Source organism: Homo sapiens, chromosome 4 (assembly GCF_000001405.40).
Source record: "Homo sapiens chromosome 4, GRCh38.p14 Primary Assembly".
Lineage (NCBI taxonomy): Eukaryota > Metazoa > Chordata > Mammalia > Primates > Hominidae > Homo > Homo sapiens.
In genome coordinates, this window is record NC_000004.12 from 133,970,537 (window position 1) to 133,991,282 (window position 20,746).

Genomic DNA, 20,746 nt, shown 5'->3' on the forward strand with positions numbered 1-20,746 from the left:
AAAATGTTATTTTTCCCTCTTTCTTTCATCAAGCATATCTGCGTGCATTTACACAGTTCTCTTTCAGTTGAACCAGTCTCAGGGTGTAACATCACTGCCATGTTCTGGATATATGTGTCCCCTCAAAATTCATACGTTGAAATTCTAACCCTCAAGGTGGTAGTATTAGGAGGTAGGGATTTGGGTAGGTGATTAGGTCATGAGAGCACAGCTCTTCTGATGAGATTAGTGTCCTTATTAAAAAGGACCAAGAGAACTCTCTCACCCCTTCTGCTATGTGAGGATGCAGTAAAGAGACTGCCATCTGTGAATCAGAAAGCAAGCCCTGACCAGACACAAAATCTGCCCAATACCTTGTCCTGGAACTTCCCAGTTTCCATAATCATAAGACATAAATTTCTGTTGTTTATATGTCTCCTAATCTATGATATTTTGTTATAGTAGCCCAAACAGACTAAGACAATCCCCATCCATCATGACCCAGTGACCACTATCTCCTCTCTTTTACTCATCATGTTCAGTGTATATCTAGGTCCTGTAGAATTCACTACCTAGGTAAATCTTATATTCTTTTTTTTTTTTTTTTTTTTTTTTGAGACGGAGTCTCACTCTGTCGCCCAGGTTGGAGTGCAGTGGAACAATCTCGGCTCACTGCAAGCTCCGCCTCCTGGGTTCACGCATTCTACTGCCTCAGCCTCCGGAGTAGCTAAGACTACAGGGGCCCGCCACCACGCCCGGCTAATTTTTTGTATTTTTAGTAGAGACGGGGTTTCACCATGTTAGCCAGGATGGTCTCCATCTCCTGACTTCGTGATCCGCCCGCCTCATTCTTCCAAAGTGCTGGGATTATAGGCGTGAGCCACCGCGCCCGGCCTTAAATTCTTTAATATTATTTCACTTTTATTGTTACTACAAAAACCAGCCTCACCCTCACACCTGGACTGCCACATTGGCCCAGGAGCCAGTTTCGTGTCTAGCATCTTCTACTCTGTCCTCCAGTTTCTCTTTGTCAATGCAGCCAAAGTAATTTTTCTGAAGATCAAATAATATCACTCAGCAACCAAAATCTCAGACAGTGCTTAAAATGTCCCACATTGTCTGGTCCTATCTATATCCATGATTTAATGTTTTGCCACCTCTGTCACTTGGTCTTTCTATTCCAGAGTCACAGGGCTTCTTTCTGTTTTTAGCATGTACCATTCCCTCACAAAATAGGATCTTTGCACATACTTCATACTTTTCATTATGAACAGCATGCTTTTTCTCCCCGTTTTCATGTTGCAACCTTAGATCCCACAGATTTCAATTCAATTTTCAATTCCTCAGGAATGTATTGTCTGACTTTTAAACTGGGTAAAATATTCTTAATATGCCCTCTCAAAAATTTGTGCCCTTCTCATTCACAATACTCTTTATATTGGTAATTTTGAATTTAATGTTTCTTGGATAAATAAATTACCAACATTCAAATAATTTCTTCACTACCATAACCCAGCATACAAAATAAACCATGCTTAACTTTCTGAAAAGTAGACTTGTCCAGGACTCTACCAATTACTGCACCTAATTGAATGCTAAGATCTAGGAGTTACGATTGTTCTCATTGCTTAGATCCAGATGGAGCTCCTTATAACCCAGTAACATATTCCTGAATGTTGTAGTATGTATTTTAATGAACCCAATATCATTGGTGGCATAATAATTTCATTTTGGTTAGGGGTGATTAAAGCAAATATACTCTAGTTGCTAGTCCAGAACCCAAACTATATACTGCTTATCAAAATAGTATACTTATTTTGAATGAATCCCTACTTTTCTGACAATGAAATTATTTCCTTGGACAGATATAGCAAATACTGTTATGTGTCACACATACCCCCCTGTTTTCACACTCCAAGACTGAAGCATCCATTTATCTAGGGGCAGATAGTATTGTCACTCAAGACTCTCAGATGAGTCCATCTCTGGGAGTTCCTTTGGGTCAAGAAAGCGACTTTACTCAAGATTATTTTCATGTTTCGTGGTGATGATGCAGACATAATAAGATGTTTCATAAAACTGAAAAAATGGTGAACCTCAATTAGTAATTTGATGTGAACAACAATTGATAGGACTGCCATGGCAAATCATAGTGAAAAAGATCAAAAGACTCATATAGTTGAGCATGCTAGAGTGAACATATTATGTAAGGCTGAAAAATCCATCTGCTGCCTATGTCCCATGAGAGAGCCTAGAGGAGACTCTGCTTACCGACATAATAAATATGCACTGGGGTAAAGGGCCCTAGCATCATTAAGAAGATCATTGTTGTAGGTCTCATATAATACAGTGCTGACAGTAAGAGATACTATACAGCACTGTTTTGTTTGGCAGTAATTGTTATAACAGGACCTCAAACACAGAAGCGAGATGGCAGAAACTAGCTGTCAGAAACATGCTGAGTGCCATTAGCATAATTACTCATAAGGTCTGGATGTCCTGACAAGCAGAGAGCCACAGAAATTGTTAATAGATAGAATATAATTTCCCTACATGTAAGATATCTAGGTAGCCAACAAGTTTACTGCTAAATATATATGACCAAAATAAAGCAAGAATAGTTGATAGAGGTTGATGCCATAAATCCCAATTAAATGTCTTGATTTATTGCCTTGTTTATGAAATGGAGCAGGGATTCAGACCCACAATTTATTGGCTAAAGAAGATCTTCTAAAAACAAACAAAGAAAACAGGAAACCACCATGTCAAGTATATATCATAATGGGAACACTTCCTGAATGGCAAAGAAAGGACTTACAAAAATCTGATGCCCCATAACAGCAATAAGAGCATAGGAAAAAAAAAAAGCTGATATAAACTTTTTCAGAACTCTGGAAAACAGCTAAATGTTTACAACAATTGAAGGAAGACTTATCCAATAAAAATAGCTGAATCTAGGTAAAATATTGAACTTTGTCACTATTTTAATGTGCTCTAATCCCATTCCCTTCTCCATGGCTTTGCATTATCCTTGAAAACCAATGGCCTCATGATTGTCATGACTGATGAAAACCAGTACCTTATCAGCCACTGAAAGGAACTGAATGGGTTTGGAGATCCCAAAACTCCACATCACAGGGAATTATCACTATTTGACCACCTGGAAACTTTCTGGAAAACACCACTCAGTTTATCTTTATTTGACCTAACTTAGACTTCACTCAGTGTTAACAATGCATATACAACACATTTGTCAAAAACAGTCAGCTGCCATTGTTTAATATTAAAGGTTCTTCAGTCAGCCCCACCTGTTGGGACTAGTAAGAGGCTAGCCAAACCACTTAAAATGAAAAATTAGGGAGTTATATGTCTATAGGTCCTTTGAAAACTCTGACAAGCTCCTGGAAATATAAAATGTTATGTATGCAAATGCACAGAGATGTTCATATACCCAGGATTGTGGAAACACTCAGGAGGCTTGAGATAATCTAAATCTAAATCTAAATCTAATAATGTAAGGAAACCAGAAAGGCCAAATTATCCTTGAAAAGTAAAAACAATGTTGGATAACTCACACTTTCTGATTTCAAAAGTTGCTACAAATTGCAGTAATCAAGAGAGTATGCTACTGGCATAAGGATAAAAATATAGATAATTGGGAAATAATTGAATGTCCAAAAAAACCCCTCAAATTTATGATCCACTGATTTTCAACAACGGTACCAAGACAATTTAATGGAGAATAGTCTTTTCAACACTTGGTGCTGGAACAGCTAGATATCCACATGCCACAGAAGAATGTTAAACTCCTACCTCACACTGTACACAAAAATTAACTTAAAATAGATCAGAGATGTAAATATAAGACTACAAACTAAGAATTTTAAATTATGAAATCCTTAGAAGAAAACATAGCGTTAAATATTCTTGACTTGGGTTAACCAAATGTTTTTTAAATGAAATATCAAAAGCACAGTGAAAAGAAAAGAAAAAAAACAATAGATATATTGGGCCTGACCAAAACTAAAACCCTTTGTGTTTCAAGTGATACTATCAATTAAGTAAAAAGATAACCAACATAATAGAAAAATATTTGCAAATTATATATCTGATAAGGAACTTGAATACAGACTATAAATAAATTCTTCATCTGAACAACAAAAAGTCACATAAGCCAATTAAAAAGGGTCAAGTAATTTTAACATACGTCTCTCCAAAGGATGTGTACAAAGGCCAATAACACATGCAAATATGCTTAAGAAAATGAAAAGAACCATGAGATACCACTCGACACCTACTAATATTGCTGTAAATAAAAATATGGAAAATTATAAGTATTAGCAAAAATGTGGAGCAACTGGAACTCTCAAATTTTGTTGTTCAGAATTTAGGATTATACAGCCTCTTTGGAAAAAAAGTTTGATAGACTCTGATAAAGTTAACATAGACTTATCATATGATCTAGCAATTTCACTCCAGGTGTATACCCAGGAAAATTAAAACTCATGTTCACTCAATATCTTGTACATAAATATTCATAGCATCATTATTCACAATTGCCAGATAGTGGAAACAACAAAAATTTGTATTAACTGAAAATTGGATCAACAAAATGGGATTGGCTATATAAAGGAATATTATTCAGCAATTGAAAGGAATAAGGTACAAATATATATCACAACATGAATAAACCTTGAAAATATACTAAAGAAGCCAGACATGAAAAGATGCATATTGTGTGATTCCATTTACATAAATCTCCATAATAGGCAAATCCATGGAGAAGAAAAGTAGATTAGTGTTTGCTGCAGACTGGGGGAAGGGGAAATGTGGAGGGATCACTAATGAGTATTGGGTTTCTTTTTGGGTGATGAAAATTTTCTAGAATAAGATATAATGGTAGCACCACCTTCTGAATATACTAAAACTCACTAAATTGTGCATTTAAAAAGGGTGATTTTTATATTACGTGAATTATATCTCAATAAATTTGCTATAATAAAATTTCTAAATGACTCTCTAATTTTTAGTCAGAAAAACACATTCTTTGGTAAAGATACACTGGGGAAACTGAAACATCCAAATACTTTGAGGACTGTATGGTCTATTTTAAGATTGATTCTCAGAGACTAAAGAGTCATTTTCCCTCCTAACCCCCATTATAACAGAGGCATGATGATAAGGCAATAAAAGGAATCCTAGCTCAGTTCGGGACATAGTGAATCCACTGTATCCAGGAAATGAGCAAGTGGTCACTTTTCATCATACCTAACTCCATAACTGGAGTGAACATACTTGGTGGTAGAATTTTCACATCACTTTCTTGAATCCTGATATAAAAATATAAGAGCATTTGTAATGAGAAAGCCCAGGAGAAAATTTCTCATACACACACACTCTCTCTCTTTCTGTCTCTCTCTCACACAAACACATATATTTATTTTTATTTTATTTTATTTTAAGTTCCGGGGTACATGTCAGGATGTGCAGGTTTGTTACATAGGTAAATGTGTGCCATAGTGGTTTGTTGCATCTATCAACCTAGGTATTAAGCCCAGCAAGCATTAGCTATGTTTCCTGATGCTCTCCCCTGCCACCTTCCCCCAACAGAGCCCAGTTTGTGTTGTTCCTCTCCCTGGGTCCATATGTTCTCATTGTTCAGGTTCTACTTATAAGTGAGAATATGTGGTGTTCGGTTTTCTGTTTGTCTGTTAGTTTCCTGAGGATAATGGCTTTCAGCTCCATTCACGTCCCTGGAAAGGGAATGTTCTCATTCTTTTTATGGCTGCATGGTATTCCATAGTGTATATGTATCACATTTTATTTATTCAGTCTATCATTGATGGGCATTTGGGTTGATTCCATGTCCTTGCTATTGTGACTAGTGCTGCAATGAACATATGCGTGTACATATCTTTATAATAGAATGACCATATTTATATTCCTTTCGGTTTATACCCAGTAAGGGGATTGCTGGGTCAAATAGTATTTCTGATTCTAAATCTTTGAGGAATAGCCACACTGTCTTCCACAATGTTTTAATTAATTTACATTCCCACCAACAGTGTAAAAGCTTTCATATTTCTCTGCAACCTCACCAGCATCTGTTGTTTCTTGACTTTTTAATAATCACCATTCTGACTGGCATGAGATGGTATCTCATTGTGGTTTTGATTTGCATTTCTCTAATGATCAGTGATATTGATCTTTTTTTCATATATTTGTTGGCTGCATAAATGTCTTCTTTTGAGAAATATCTGTTCATGTCCTTTGCCCACTTTTTAATGGGGTTGTTTGTTTATTCCTTGTAAATTTGCGTGAGTTCCTTGTAGATTCTGGATATTAGACCTTTGTCAGATGGATAGATTGCAAAAATTTTCTCCCAGAAGCTCTTTATTTTAATTAGATCCCATTTGTCAATTTTTGCTTTCGTTAGAATTGCTTTTGGTGATTTTATCATAAAATCTTTGCCCATGTCTATGTCCTGAATGGTGTTACCTAGACTTTCTTCTAGAATTTTTATAGTTTTGGGTTTTACATTTAAGTATTTAATCCATCTTGAGTTAATTTTTGTATAAGGTATAAGAAAGTGGTCCAGGTTTAATTTTCTGCATATGGCTAGCCAGTTCTCCCAGCACCATTTATTAAATAGGGACTCCTGTCCCTATTGCTTGTTTTTGTCTTGTTTGTTGAAGATCAGATCGTTGGAGATGTGTGGTTTTATTTCTGAGTTCTCTATTCTTTCCATTGGTCTATGTGCCTGTTTTTGTACTAGTAGCATGCTGATTTGCTTCCTGTAGCCTTGTAGTATAGTTTGAAGTCAGGCAATATAATGCCTTCAGCTTTCTTCTCTTTGCTTAGGATTGTCTTGGCTATATGAGCTTTTTTGTCGTTCTGTATGATTTTTTAAATAGTTTTTTTCTAATTCTGTGAAGAATGTCAATGGTAGTTTAATGGGAATAGCACTGAATCTACAAATTGTTTTGGGCAGTATGGCCATTTTTTTGATATTTCTTCCATCCATGAGCATGGAATGTTTTTCCATCTGTTTGTGTCCTGTCTGATTTCCTTTAGCAATGGTTTGTAGCTCTCCTTAAAGAGGTCCTTCACTTCCCTTGTTAGCTGTATTCCTAGGTATTTTATTCTCTTGGATACACATATATTTACATAATCTTGATGGATTTTGTAGAAACTGGTGTCACTCTTAAAAATTTGAAAGGCTCATGAATGCCAATAGACTACTACAAAATCAACCCAATAAATTGTAATCTCAATAAATATTGCCATGCCAGATGCTATGTATTTTCTAGAACACGTTAACATATTCCCAGGTACATGGTATGGTACTATCTGGCAATCACTAATATAACATTTGTTTTTCCATTTCTATTAGAATAAAAGGTCAGAAACAGTTTGCATTATTTTTGGGTAGAAAGGCATAAACACTTACCTTCTTGCTCAAGGGTAGTGTTAACTCTTTTGGCATGTGTAGTAATATAGTGCACAGGGAACTGGATTACCTGGACATCCTGCAGGACATATGTATAAATAACATTTTTTAAATCACAGTATGTATGAATGACATCATTGATCTACTCTATGAATGACATTATTTTAATTGCACCAGATGTGCTGAAAGCAACAAGTATGTTACAGGCCATAGTAAGATGTATATGTTCCAGATAACTCAAACAACTCAAAGCTGAGGGCTCTGTTGCTCCACCCCATCTGGACCAGCAGAGGTGCTAGATAAGAGCAAAAAGAGTTCAGAATGGGTAGTAGAAAAGAGAGATAGTAAAAATCAGTTGCAGGATGGGTGTGGTGGCTTATGCCTGTCATCCCACCAATTTGGGAGGCCAAGGCAAGAGGATCACTTGAGCCCAGGAGTTCAAGACCAGCCTAAGCAGCATGGCAATACTTCATCTCTACAAATAATAATAATAACGACAAAATAGCTGGATGTAATTGCGTGCACCTGTGGTCCCTACTACCCAGGAGTTAGAGGTGGAAGGATAGCTTGAGCCCGGGAGGTGGAGGCTGTGTGTGTGTGTGTGTGTGTGTTGTGTGTATCTCCAATATAAAATATTCTAGGTTAAAAAGGCAGACATTATTCTTCAGCCTTGCTCACATGTTTTACAGTTGGGAAAACTGGCCTCTCTGTTAGGAAGAATTGAATATAAATTTATATTATTACTCTCTTGTGATCTTGTTTCTACTTTTTGCTTCTTCTCAAATCCCAATATTCTCTTTTGTTATATTCCCTAACTTAAGTTTCACTAACTTTAGCAAATTGCAGAGATTTTATAATATAATTACCTTGTGATGTGATATCATTCTTTGCAGATAATAAAATTTCTATCCAGGAAATTACTGGACATCTACAAATACAATTAACAAGACAGTTTGTCAGTTATGACCTTATAAACCAGCAGCAAACATTCATATAATGTAATTTGAAAAGACGCAATTATAGTAGCAACAAAAATTGTAAGTTACCTAGAGATTGATGCTTTCAAGATCTTTTGTATAATTATAATTAAAAACATAAAATCTTCCTAAATAAATGAAAAGATTTTCCATGTTCATGGGTGGGAAAAATTGATATCGAAAAGATCTAACATTGATCCAACAATTATTAAAGTTGACTAAGTGTCAGGCCCTTTTCTGAGGAATTAGGGAATCTCAGTGAGCAAAACAGAACAAAAATTTCTAAGTCTAATTCTTTCCATGTTATTTGATAAATCTAATACAATTTTTATGCAATTTACAGCAGAACTGTTTTTCTGAAAAATTTTGTAAGCTAATCCTAAAGTTCAAATGGAAGAGTCAAAGAACAAATATAGTCAATGTAATTTTTAAATAAAGGAGTAGGAGGAACCCTGAGAACAATGAGTGGAAGGAAGAATAAGAACACGTTGTATAGAAAGTATCATTATAGTGCTTTCATAATGAAAACATTCTAGTCCTGGCAAGGGATGTTTCCAACAGATGCAATACAGACATCAAAGCTTCTTCACTATAGGACTGTGCATCGCTTGCCTGGGCTTTCCGTATTAGTTCCATAAAGACGTCGTCCTAGCCCCTTGATATGGCCTGAAATTATCACTTTAAGCATACAACAGGTCCTCTCACATTTACCAGATAAAAAGAATACTACTGAGAATATTACTTTTGCAAAGAAATCAATCAGTTTTTTAGAGAATATCAGGCCTCATGTGACTGTCTAAAATCTATGGATTTTCTTTATAAAAATGAAGTTTTAAAAATATTTTTACCTTATTAAATATTAATTTTGGCATGAATTTTTACAGTTCACTTAAGCTTGCAACACCACAGCCTTCCTGTCTTCCAAAAAAATCAGATGTTTCAAATAATTGATCTTGTTTTTCCATTGTAGGCTACAATAATTCCCATTATTCAAGTGTTATATGTATTTCTATTTTCTAGCTTTAATTTGGTTCAGAAATAGAATATCTTTTGTTTTCTTTTGATTATTTCCTGTTTATAGTGCTTAGGATGTCATACTAGGTACATGTTTTACTACGTGTTGCCTTCTCCACCCCATCTCCTTGAGACTTGTGAAATATCTGCAAATACATATATTTTATAATTTGGCTTTCCATTCTTAATCACTACCTGTCAAAGTGTCTTATAGTCAGTAGACAAACAGTATTTTTGTATAATAATTAATCATTATTCTACAGGAACCAAAATCTAGGCTTCTTATATGTCAAGCTTAATCCCAAACCTTGAGACAAATTAACAAATATTCATTTCGTTTTTATTTCTCTTATTTTTTAACAGCAGCCTTTACATATAGGGTAAATTGGCTTCAACCTGAATAACAAAACTACCCTTGGAAAGATGTGGTCTTAGAATCAACCCACAAGTTGAAATTTATAAGCTGGAGAAATATCAAAGTGTGTTTATTACTTTTTGTTTGTTTAGTATAAGCTTGAGTCTAGAAAACACAGTAAGATGTCAATACACCAGATTTGAAGAGGCATAGGCTATATATGCACACACACACGAGACAGGGAAAGAGAAACTTCTAGTTACTGGCTTGTCCAATAGCTATATTTACCAAACATGTTGGTCACCCCATTTTATGAGACATCGAAATGCGCCAAGAGAATCATGAAAATGAGATATTTCTTCCTTGAGGTTAATCAAACTCCAATGAGTTAACAGGAAATTTGGGGAACTTGTTATGAAATTTTCCACTCTTATGAAGTGTTTATTAACTTTAAAAAAAATGATCATCTTAGAAATGTAGCTAGCCTCGAAATATCCCTTGATATACTTGTTTAATATGTACATAGCCTTTCTGCTCTTCTCACCTCATTAAAAACCACCAAAAGGCCGGGCACAGTGGCTCACGCCTGTAATCCCAAAACTTTGGGAGGCCGAAGTGGGCAGATCATTTGAGGTCAGGAGTTCGAGACCAACCTGGCCAATATAATAGTGAAACCCCATCTCTAATAAAAATACAAAAATCAGCCGGGTGTAGTGGCACACGCCTGTAATTTCAGCTACTAGGGAGGTTGAGGCAGGAGAATTGCTTGAGCGTGGGAGGCTGAGGTTGCAGTGAGTGGAGATCGTGCCATTGCACTCCAGCCTCTGCGACAGAGCAAGACTCCACTGGGGAAAAAAAAAAAATAGTAACAAATATTTTCAAGATCCACTATGTTGAGTAAAGTTAACTTTTATGTCATTGGTTTATTGCTGAAATACTTTTAGGCAACCCTCAATTAGGTTTTATGTGACTTAGTACTGAACTGCACTAATACCTTTGGATCAGTAAAGAAGGAAATATGTTAAAAGAATAAAATATACATTTATACCATTTATATCTTGTATTGACTGAAAAATGTCGGATTTCTGTCTTCTCTAACCTATATAATAATACATTGAAAACAATTCTATTGAAAAAAATAGATGTGCTCAATTAAAATTGCATTACTAATGTTATTCACCATCAGATATTAATTCTAAGTGGTTATTTAGCAGAATCAGCACTTTATCTTAACAGGGGGAAAAATTGTCTTTTAATTATAATACTTCGGTCTGTTGAACATTTGACTTATTGTTTCTTTTAGATTACAATGACACTCAATCAATTATTTCTAGCATAATTTGAAGCTGAAAAATACTTAATTATAGAGGCAAAGAGAAATAATGTGTTGCTTGATATTTAAAACTCAAAAATGAACACTAATGCCATTGAGAAGATGAAATTCTAATGTATATCTTTTAAATTGGTACTTTTCATCAATGTTCTGGAACTCTTTATTAGTTTCATTTTGCTGAAATACTAACACCATCAGCTTTTTGGATATTACAAAGAAAGTAAGTACAGAATATGGTATTTTATTATGCAATTATTAACTTTAACTGACTTGGAAAAATAATTATAATTCAAATCAACATATGTTGTATTGGTTGGACTTTTTTGTATATTTAATAAAGTTACTGTATAGGGACATAAAAAAGGAAAATTTCATGAATATTATTTAATGCCCTTTTTAACATCAGAGATACTAATAATATTGAGGAAATTAATTTTGCCTTGCCATCAAAAACCTTGTAAAATATAAACGTCTATTCCTGAACTACTTCCTATAAAAACGTAATGGAAAGTCAAAAATAAATCTTTCTTTAAGATGTTAAGTAAGGTATTTTTGAAGCAAATGGAGAAGGTAAGCAGAGATGAAGCAGCTTATTTTTTTAATAGTGTTACACAAATTTATTCATATTATTTTGAGCATCCTATTTATATAGTGTATGCCATAGTGTTAAAGACAAAACATCTACTCCTCATGACCTTAACCTTTAGTTAAACAGGTGACTAATGCCATCTTAATTCATGTTTAACTCTTTCAACAATTATTCAGTAGTCCAGGACAGATTTTATGCACCAAGGGAAACTTAAGAAATAGTTGCTTACTTGAAATCTAATTAAGCCTCTAGTGCATTTATGGTGAATTCTTTTTGCAGTGGTTGAATATGCATAATTATCAAATTCCTTATATAAGAAATGTGTGTGCATTTTAAAGAAAGTGTTTATTAATAAATAGTAAGAAGTTTCAAATATTTACTTTGCTGGTTATGAACGTTTTGGAGCAGAAAAAGTAACTCATAATCTCCCATCCTCTCTTCTTTATTTCCCCTCATCAATCCACAAGCAAGCAAAATAGTCATGGTTGCATTCCATGCTAATTTGTAATTGTGGCTTTATGCAGTAAAATTAGTTCTTACATAATTCTAAGTACATATAAAAATAATTACTCAGAAGTAATTTTTAGCTTTCTGAACTGCTCAGGAGCACAGTACTTGTCAAACATGTAATTCACATGAAACTAATTATTTTGTCATACTATAAAATATGTATATACATTTAAACATGCTCTATTCCTACAGTTACAAATATGAACATTTTTAAACTGTAAAACACACAAGCTGATCTCTAACATAGTTTTGTGATGCTTCATAAACAAATAGACTCACCAACTTGTCTCAAGTTTTACATATTCCAGAAATGCTTTCCTGTTTCAAGTCACAAGTGTATTTGTCCAGACCTTTCAAAGAAAATAAGCTCCACTGTACTCAAAGAAATTAGTTGTGTTGCTGAAGTAAATGAGGAGGTTTAGTTCTTACAGTGTCAAATCTCAAACCTAATTTTCCAAAGAAACCTACTTGGTGTACTAATTGGAAAAGTTACCTTCAGTAAGTAACTTAGCCTCTTTGAGAGTCAACCTCATAAACTTTCTCAACAGGAAGGTAATAACATCTATATATATTGTCATATGCAAAATGTCTCATGTCTACTACATGCTCAATTGGCCCCTTTCTGGTAACACAAGTACAATAAGAAAATTACTCTAGATAGTCATCCAGCTCTCAGAAAGGTAAAAAACACAGATTGACAGAATAAACTGGAGTCCTGAACTGACATAAGCCCAGCGAAGGTTTGAAAAAACAAGAAAGAAATAATAACACAATTAATATTTGATAATTAAATGAGAATCTAAGAAGGGGAAATAATATTCTGACAATAAGTAGTAGCATTTAATAAACAGCAAGTATGCCACAGCCTTACCAGAAAAAAAGAAATTAATTAGAACCAGATTTTTATAAAATTTTATTCTTTCAGATTACTAAGTGGATATAATTCTATAAACTTGGAATATTTTGTATTACATTTTAGGACAAAATCAATTAAGCTTTATTGCATCTTATAGGTATATTGGAACATTGTCTCACTCAGAAAGTGTAATTCCTGAAATACTGATAATTTATTTTATTAATAGTAATGCATTTTCTGAATTCCCCTAAAAACAACATATTTACAATTACCTGAATAACTTAAGGGTGTTTTTGGAATACAAATATTCTTGAAATATTGACTAATCATTAATCCCCATTTAAATATTTTGTATAGTCTTTCACATAGAAAGAGTACAAAGAAATCTATATAGGTAAATTATATATGTAATCTAGTGCTGAAAGCTCTGATCCACTGAAAGTAAAATTTTAGGTGAAGAAGTTAAATCATATTGTATTAAAAATATGTTTAAACATGGCATATTTTCAATTGCACCAACAAACACATGTCATCTCTCCAGACATGTCAAAGAATATTTGTTTGTGTAAGCAACTTATGAAAGATAATTATTGACTTTAAAAACAATTTCTAAAGATGTGTTAAATTAAAACACCAAATTCTGTGAAGGGGTAAGTAGGTAAGAGGCAGTGAAAATATTCTCTTTTACAGTATTGGAAGAGAGACAATATTGAAATTGGGATGAGATGCATAATTTTTTAAATTGTGGTCTCATTTTTAATTGTCTACTCTTTACTAAATAAAATATAGTTAAAGGTGTTGAGTTAGATCAGAAATGTAAATTCAAAAATGGCATTTTTTCACTTTGTGAGCAAATTAATGCTCATCACTAGACAGGCATTATTTATGATCTAAATATAATTGTATATCATTAGTCATGTAGGTAGACTAGATAGTAACTAGAGCACAAATATATTTACACTATCTCTGAAATCTATGAAAGTCAGGATAATAAAGAATCATTAAAGTACTGTTTTCAGGGCAGCTTCACAGATTACTTGGGCCAGTAGGTGTGACATGAAATTTCTTTTCATTTCTCTGGGTACAATAGATCATGTAAATGACCCATTCTTTCATATAGCTTTGGAATATTACATATTTAGCCCTGATTTCTTTTTACACCCCATAGAGATTTAAAAGTGTGTTAAAATGACAGCGAGATTAGAGACACTTGTTGTAAGTTTCTCTTTCTTGCAAAAGGAGTTGTGAGCACTCATAGAGAAAAAAAAGTAGATTTGAGGGAATCAAATGGTAGAAAAGAATTAGTAGTAGGACTAACCCAGGAACAGGGAATTTAATAGGACAGCATATGCATCTCTGACTAGTACAAGAACTAAAGGAAGAAAATAGAATTATGGACATCTTTAGCCGAATAAAGTATCTACCACTACTTTCATAGGAAGAAATGCTTGTTGTTATCGAGCTAAGAATTTAAAAACCAAAAACAAATGAATAAACCAAGAAAACGTTACATAAACTGACTCTGGTGTCAATATAGACCATTAAGACTTGGAAGATACAATTTTGCATATATGTCTGAGATAAACCTGGAAATGCCTAAGAAAAATATTTTTCAGAGAGCAGAGATGGTTATCACAACTATAGGTTCCACAAGGGTAGTAAAACACCAGGTTTGAAATATAAAACACCTAAGTCACAGGGTAAAGGAAAAGACAGGCTTCATTCAGAAGTACCTATTTAATTAGCAAACAACTCCTTGCTTCATATTCAATCAGATATGCACTTTGGGGGTGATATGGAGATTGGACTATAAGCAGGAAAAAGCATGATACCAGTATAAGAAGTTTCTCCAATTACAAATCCAAATATATCTTTGCTTAGAAAAATTTGAAGATTAAAATATAGATATTTCTCATATTCATAATTTTTAGAGAAAGAATAATTTATTCAAAACTGAAAGAAAAAAAGAAGGATATTCAACAAGGTGTCAAGTTCTGTTTTTAGAGAGACTTCTATTGTTAATCTAACAGGTATAGTTGCAATTATAATGATTTTAATAGATAAAACAAAAAATTGAGTTGTCAGGTAGTAAAATTGCTTGAGGCAGAAGTATTTGGGGTTTGTTTTTGTTTTGTCATCTCTATTTTCCCTGTTCTAATAAATTATTCTTGAATCCCAAAACATTGAAAGTATAATATTCATATTTCAACATAATGAAACCAAATAATTTCTTATCATGAATGTACCATATAATATTACTTGTACTATAAATTCTCTAACTTCTGATTAAGGTTTCCAAAGCTATAGCAATGCAAGTGACTTGATTCCAGATGAATAATGTCAAGCTCAGTAAAAATTATTAAGCTCTGGTGTCTGCAGAACGTTACAGCACTTGTTTTATATTGTACACATCGAGAATACTCAAGGGAGAATAAACTCTTATATAATCATTATTAAATATTTATTAGTCACAGCTTAAAATTTCATTAATTGTATTACCATAGAAAACTATTTCCCAAACACAACACTTTTAAGTTTTATAATTAAAACTTTGGATGTCAATATCCTTCTAGCTTAAGGTAGCAGGTATTAAATGCTTGTCTGGTAGTGAAAACTTATTGCCATTTAATTTTTCCATTTATAACATAAACAACTTTTTATATCTTTCCTTTCAAAATTATCCCTTTGAATACTTTAAAACTATTGTTTTCTTACTAAGATAGCAAAACAAACCAGAAGCAGAATAAAATACGAGATATATAAATTAAGTAAAATGAAGCACATTGATGACTTTACACTACAAGTTAGAAAAAAGCACTATTTTGGAATTCAGGACATAAAAATTATTTGTTTGCATTTTTTTCCCTATTCAGGACAAATACTTAATGACAATGAGAAGAAAATAAGAGAAATAAAATGCTTTGATTGTCTACAATGTCAATGATCTAAACACCTACAAATATCACTGTAAAGTACTGAAATTGATTTGCAAAACCTCAACATACTAATAGACCAATATGGTCATAAATTAAAAACTTGAAAAAAAGAGAAAATCAAAAAATAATAAACATCTCGGGACTGCCTATTAGATGTGCCTTCATAATTCTGTTTGTGATCATGTGGTACTTTAGTGAGAAGACTTTTTTTTTTTTTTGAGAGGGAGTCTTACTCTGTCACCCAGGCTGGAGTGCAGTGGCACGATCTCAGCTCACTGCAACCTCTGACTCCTGGGTTCAAGGAATTCTCCTGCCTCAGCCTCCGGAGTAGCTGGAACTACAGGAGCTTGCCACCATGCCCTGCTAATTTTTGCATTTTTAGTAGAGATGGGGTTTTGGTATGTTGGCCAGGCTAGTCTCTAACTCCTGACCTCAGGTGATCTACCCGACTCGACCTCCCAAATTTCTGGGATTACAGCCGTGAACCACCGCACCTGGCTGAGACTTTCAATTGTTGATAATGTTCCACAGTCAAAACTGGCTTGAGCTACAAATGTAACTCATCTAACAATTTCAAAGGTTAGTTTTGTTGTTGTTGTTGTTGTTTTGCTAGGGATTTGGTTTTGTTTTTAACGAAGACAAATGTCAATACTGCTCATATCACATTGTCCTGTTACTTATTATGGATGCATCAGGGTGAATACATTTCTAAGGTATGTTATATAAATGCTGAAGCAGGTGATAAGCTGCAAGGCTTATCAAGAAAAGCTAACTTTATTCAAAGATGTATTAAATGAATGCTGTAAATTCAGGGCCAGAAGACAAATAGCTATTTTCTCATTTGTAATTTCTGGGAACAATTATTCTCCTATTTAAAGAAAGTCCATCTCTTCTCCTACAAGAAATTCCACATCCCAAGGAAACAGGTTAATACTACATGTCTATTTCCAATTAACTCTTCTCAAAAATATATTTTCACTTCTCTGAAATGAATAAAATATAAATAAAAATAATATAAACATATCTACAAACATACTACCCATAATCACCAACAAGCCTATACAGATTTTGTGGGATCTAAATTTATAAAATTTGAAAGACCTTTGGTCTTAAAAAGAATACAAACATAGGAGTAAAAAATTAGGTGCAAAGTGAATATTTCTTTAAAATTATCAAAATAATCAAAATGAACTTCAAATTGTAAAGTGTTGCATAATATTGCTAATAAGAAAAAGGACACACTATTATTTTTCTTCTGATATACAAGCATACTTTGTATTAGTTTGTTCTCACACTGCTATAAAGAAATACCTGAGTCTGAGTAATTTACAGAAGAAAGAGGTTTAATTGACTCACAGCACTGCAGGGCTAGGGAGGCCTTAAGAAACTTACAATCATGGAGGAAGGGGAAGCAAACATATCCTTCTTCACATGGTGGCAGCAAGAAGTGCAGAGTGAAGTGGGGGAAAGCCCCTTATGAAACCATCAGATCTTGTCAGAACTCACTCACTGTCATGCAAATAGCATGGAGGTAACTACCTCCATGATTCAATTACCTCCCACAATGTCCCTCCCATGACATGTTGTGGTAACTACACAATTCAAGATGATATTCGGGTGGAGACACAGCCAAACCATATGATTCTCCCTCTAACCCCTCCCAAATATTATGTTCTCACATTTCAAAACACAATCATGCCTTTCCAACAGTCTCTCAAAGTCTGAACTCATTTCAGCATTAATTGAAAATATCAAGTCCAAGGTCTCATCTGAGACAAGGCAAGTGTCTTCTGCCCATGAGCCAGTAAAACTGAAAGCAAATTAGTTAATTCCTGGATACAATGAGGGTACAGGTATTGGGTAAATACATCCACTCCAAATTGGAGAAATTCACCAAAACAAAGGGGCTACAGGCCCCATACAAGTTCAAAATCTAATAGGGTAGTCATTAAATCTTAAAGTTCCAAAATGACCTCCTTTAACCCCATGTCTCACATCCAGGGCACACTGATGCAAGAGGTGGGCTTCCACAGCTTTCAGGAGCCCTGCCCTGTGGCTCTGCAGGATACAGCCAAGTCTCCTGGCTGCTTTCACAGGCTCACATTGAGTGTCTGTGGCTTTTCCAGGAACACAGTGCAAGTTGTCAGTGGATCTACCATTCTGGGGTCTGGAGGATGGTGGCCCTCTTCTCACAACTTCACTATGCAGTGTGCCAGTTGGGACCCTGTGTGGGTGCACCAACCCCACATTTCCCTTCTGTACTACCCTGGCAGAGGTTCTCCATGAGGGCTCTGCCCCTGCAACGAACTTCTGCTTGAACATCGCGCATTTCCATACATCTTCTGAAGTCTAGGTGGAGGTTCCCAAACCTAAATTCTTGTCTTCTGTGCAACTGCAGGACAAACACCATGTGGAAACTGCCAAGGCATGGAGCTTGCACCCTCTGAAGCAGTGGTATGAGTTGACCTTGGACCCTTTTACCCATGGATGGACCTGAAGCAACTGAGACACATGGCACCATGTCCTGAAGATGCACAGAGCAAGAGTTCCTGGGCCCAGTCCATGAAAGCATTTTTTTTCCTCCTAGGCCTCTAGGGCTGTGATAGGAGGGGCTGCAATGAAGGTCTCTGATATGTCCTGAAGACATTTTTTCCATGTTGTTGGTGAATAACATTCGACTCCTCATTGCTTATGCAAATTTCTTAAATTTCTCCTCAGAAAATGGGTTTTTCTTTTCTATCACATCATCAGACTGTAAATTTTCCAAGCTTTTATGCTCTGTTTCATCTTGAAGGCTTTGCAACTTAGAAATTTCTTCCACCACATACTCTAAGTAATCTGCCTCAAGTTCAAAGTTCCACAGATCTCTAGGGCAGGGGCAAAATGCTGCCAGTCTCTTTGCATAACAAGAGTGACTTTCACTTGATTTCACAACAAGTTTCTCATCTCCATCTGAGACCGTATCAGCCTGTACTTCATTGTCCATATGACTTTCAACATTTTGGACAAAGCCATTTAACAAGTCTCAAGAAAGTTCCAAACTGCCTCACATCTCTCTGTCTCCTGAGCCCTCCAAGTCTTTAGGAAGTTTTGAACTTTCCCACGTTGTTCTGTCTTCTTCTGAGCCCTCCAAACTGTTCCAACCTCTGCTTGTTACCCAGTTCTGAAGTAGCTTCCATATTTGGAGCTACTTTTAAAGCAGTACCCCACTCATGATACCAATTTTCTGTATTAGTCTGTTCTCAGGCTACTGTGAAGAAATACCTGAGAATGGGTAATTTATAAAGAAAAGAGCCTTAATTGACTCACAATCCTGCAGGGCTGGGAAGGCCTCAGGAAGCTTACAATCATGGCAGGAGAAGCAAACACTTCCTCCTTCACATGGCAGTAGCAAAGCAGAGCACAAAGTGAAGAGTGTGGGTGGAAGCCCTTTATACATAAGATCTCATAACTCACTCACTATTATGAGAATATCATAGAGATAACCACCCCCATGATTCAATTACCTCCCACCAGGTCTCTCTCACAACACATGGGGATCATAGGAACTACATTCAAGATGATATTTGGGTGAGGACACAGCCAAATCATATCATACTTCATTTTTCCACACCTTATTGCACATCACAAACATTGATTTTTTATAAAATAAAGTTTTGTGGCAACGTGCATCAAGCAAGTCTATTGACTCCATTTTTCCAAAAGCATGTGCTGACTTCATGTCTCTGTATCACATTTTTGTAATTTTCATAATATTTCAAAATTTTTCATTATTATTATACCTGTTATGATTATCTGTGATCAGTGATCATTGATGTTTCTATTATAATTGTTTTGAGGTACAATAAATGATGCTCATTAAGACTGTCAACTTAATTGACAAATATTATGTGTGTTCTGACTGCTCCACTGACCAATTTTCTCCCCATCCCCTTTCCTAAGTGCTGCCAAATCTGTCTGGCAGACTCTGGCTGAGTAACAGATGAAAGAAGTATGCTGACACAGGTATTTTGCCTGACAGCCTGTCTAGGGGACTGCACTGCTTAGCACCACCAATGAGAGTGCAGCACCACCAATGAGAATGCAGCAGCAGCAACAGCAGCAGCCCCCCTAAGCCAAAGATGATTGCATTTATTTAGTACAGATTTAATGACAAAGGCTTGGTGCAAACACAATTTGTGGGTAATTAACATTGCCGACCCCCCCAGTAGAGAGCAGTCCTGCAGCGAATGATCAAAGGTTGGTTTCTGGAGACATAAGTAAACAGATTTATCGAGATAAGTTCCTTTACATTCCCTTATTATCTACCCTTTGCTCTCAGTTTCTGGATAAGAGAATTAGCTGCCTTCAGCTTAATCCTCTCCTGAAGCTTTTTCAAAATCTTCCAGCCTTCCAAGAAAGTTTTCATCTTTCATATAATTTTTCCCACCACCCTGACCAATCTCCTTCATCTCCCTCTTTTCTGTTTTTTGTTTGTTTGTTTTGCATCAGGTTTTGTTGATTGAAGAGTACAGATGTGTGCAGCAACAGGTTTGTCAAGCACAGTGATTATAACTTGTATTCTGGCTTTGCAACATAGAATTACTAAATAACATAAGACAAACATGAGTATAATCAGCAATATTCTTTTCCAATCAAGAAGTGACCCCCAGGAGCGGGGGTCTATCCAAGAGAGATGTTCTCTCACATCCTTCCATATGGCTGTTTGTTGGGTGTATAGACTATGGCATTTAGGGATTCTAGAATT

The 20,746-nt window shown here is 35.1% G+C and overlaps 1 protein-coding gene across 6 annotated transcripts in view; it reads right to left on the reverse strand.

The window, feature by feature from the left end:
* Positions 1 to 20,746, reverse strand: part of PABPC4L (poly(A) binding protein cytoplasmic 4 like) — a 253,443-nt gene that overhangs the window by 22,078 nt on the left and 210,619 nt on the right. For 5 of the 6 annotated variants that reach the window (XR_001741133.2, XR_007096357.1, XR_001741139.2 and 2 more), the window contains 2 exons: positions 8,296 to 8,357; positions 7,430 to 7,508 (listed from right to left, as the gene is read on the reverse strand). The gene's annotated coding sequence lies outside the window, so the exon portion shown is untranslated. Of the gene's footprint in view, positions 1 to 6,695; positions 7,181 to 7,429; positions 7,509 to 8,295; positions 8,358 to 20,746 lie in introns of those variants that run through there. The other variant, XR_007096356.1, reaches the window with a different exon arrangement.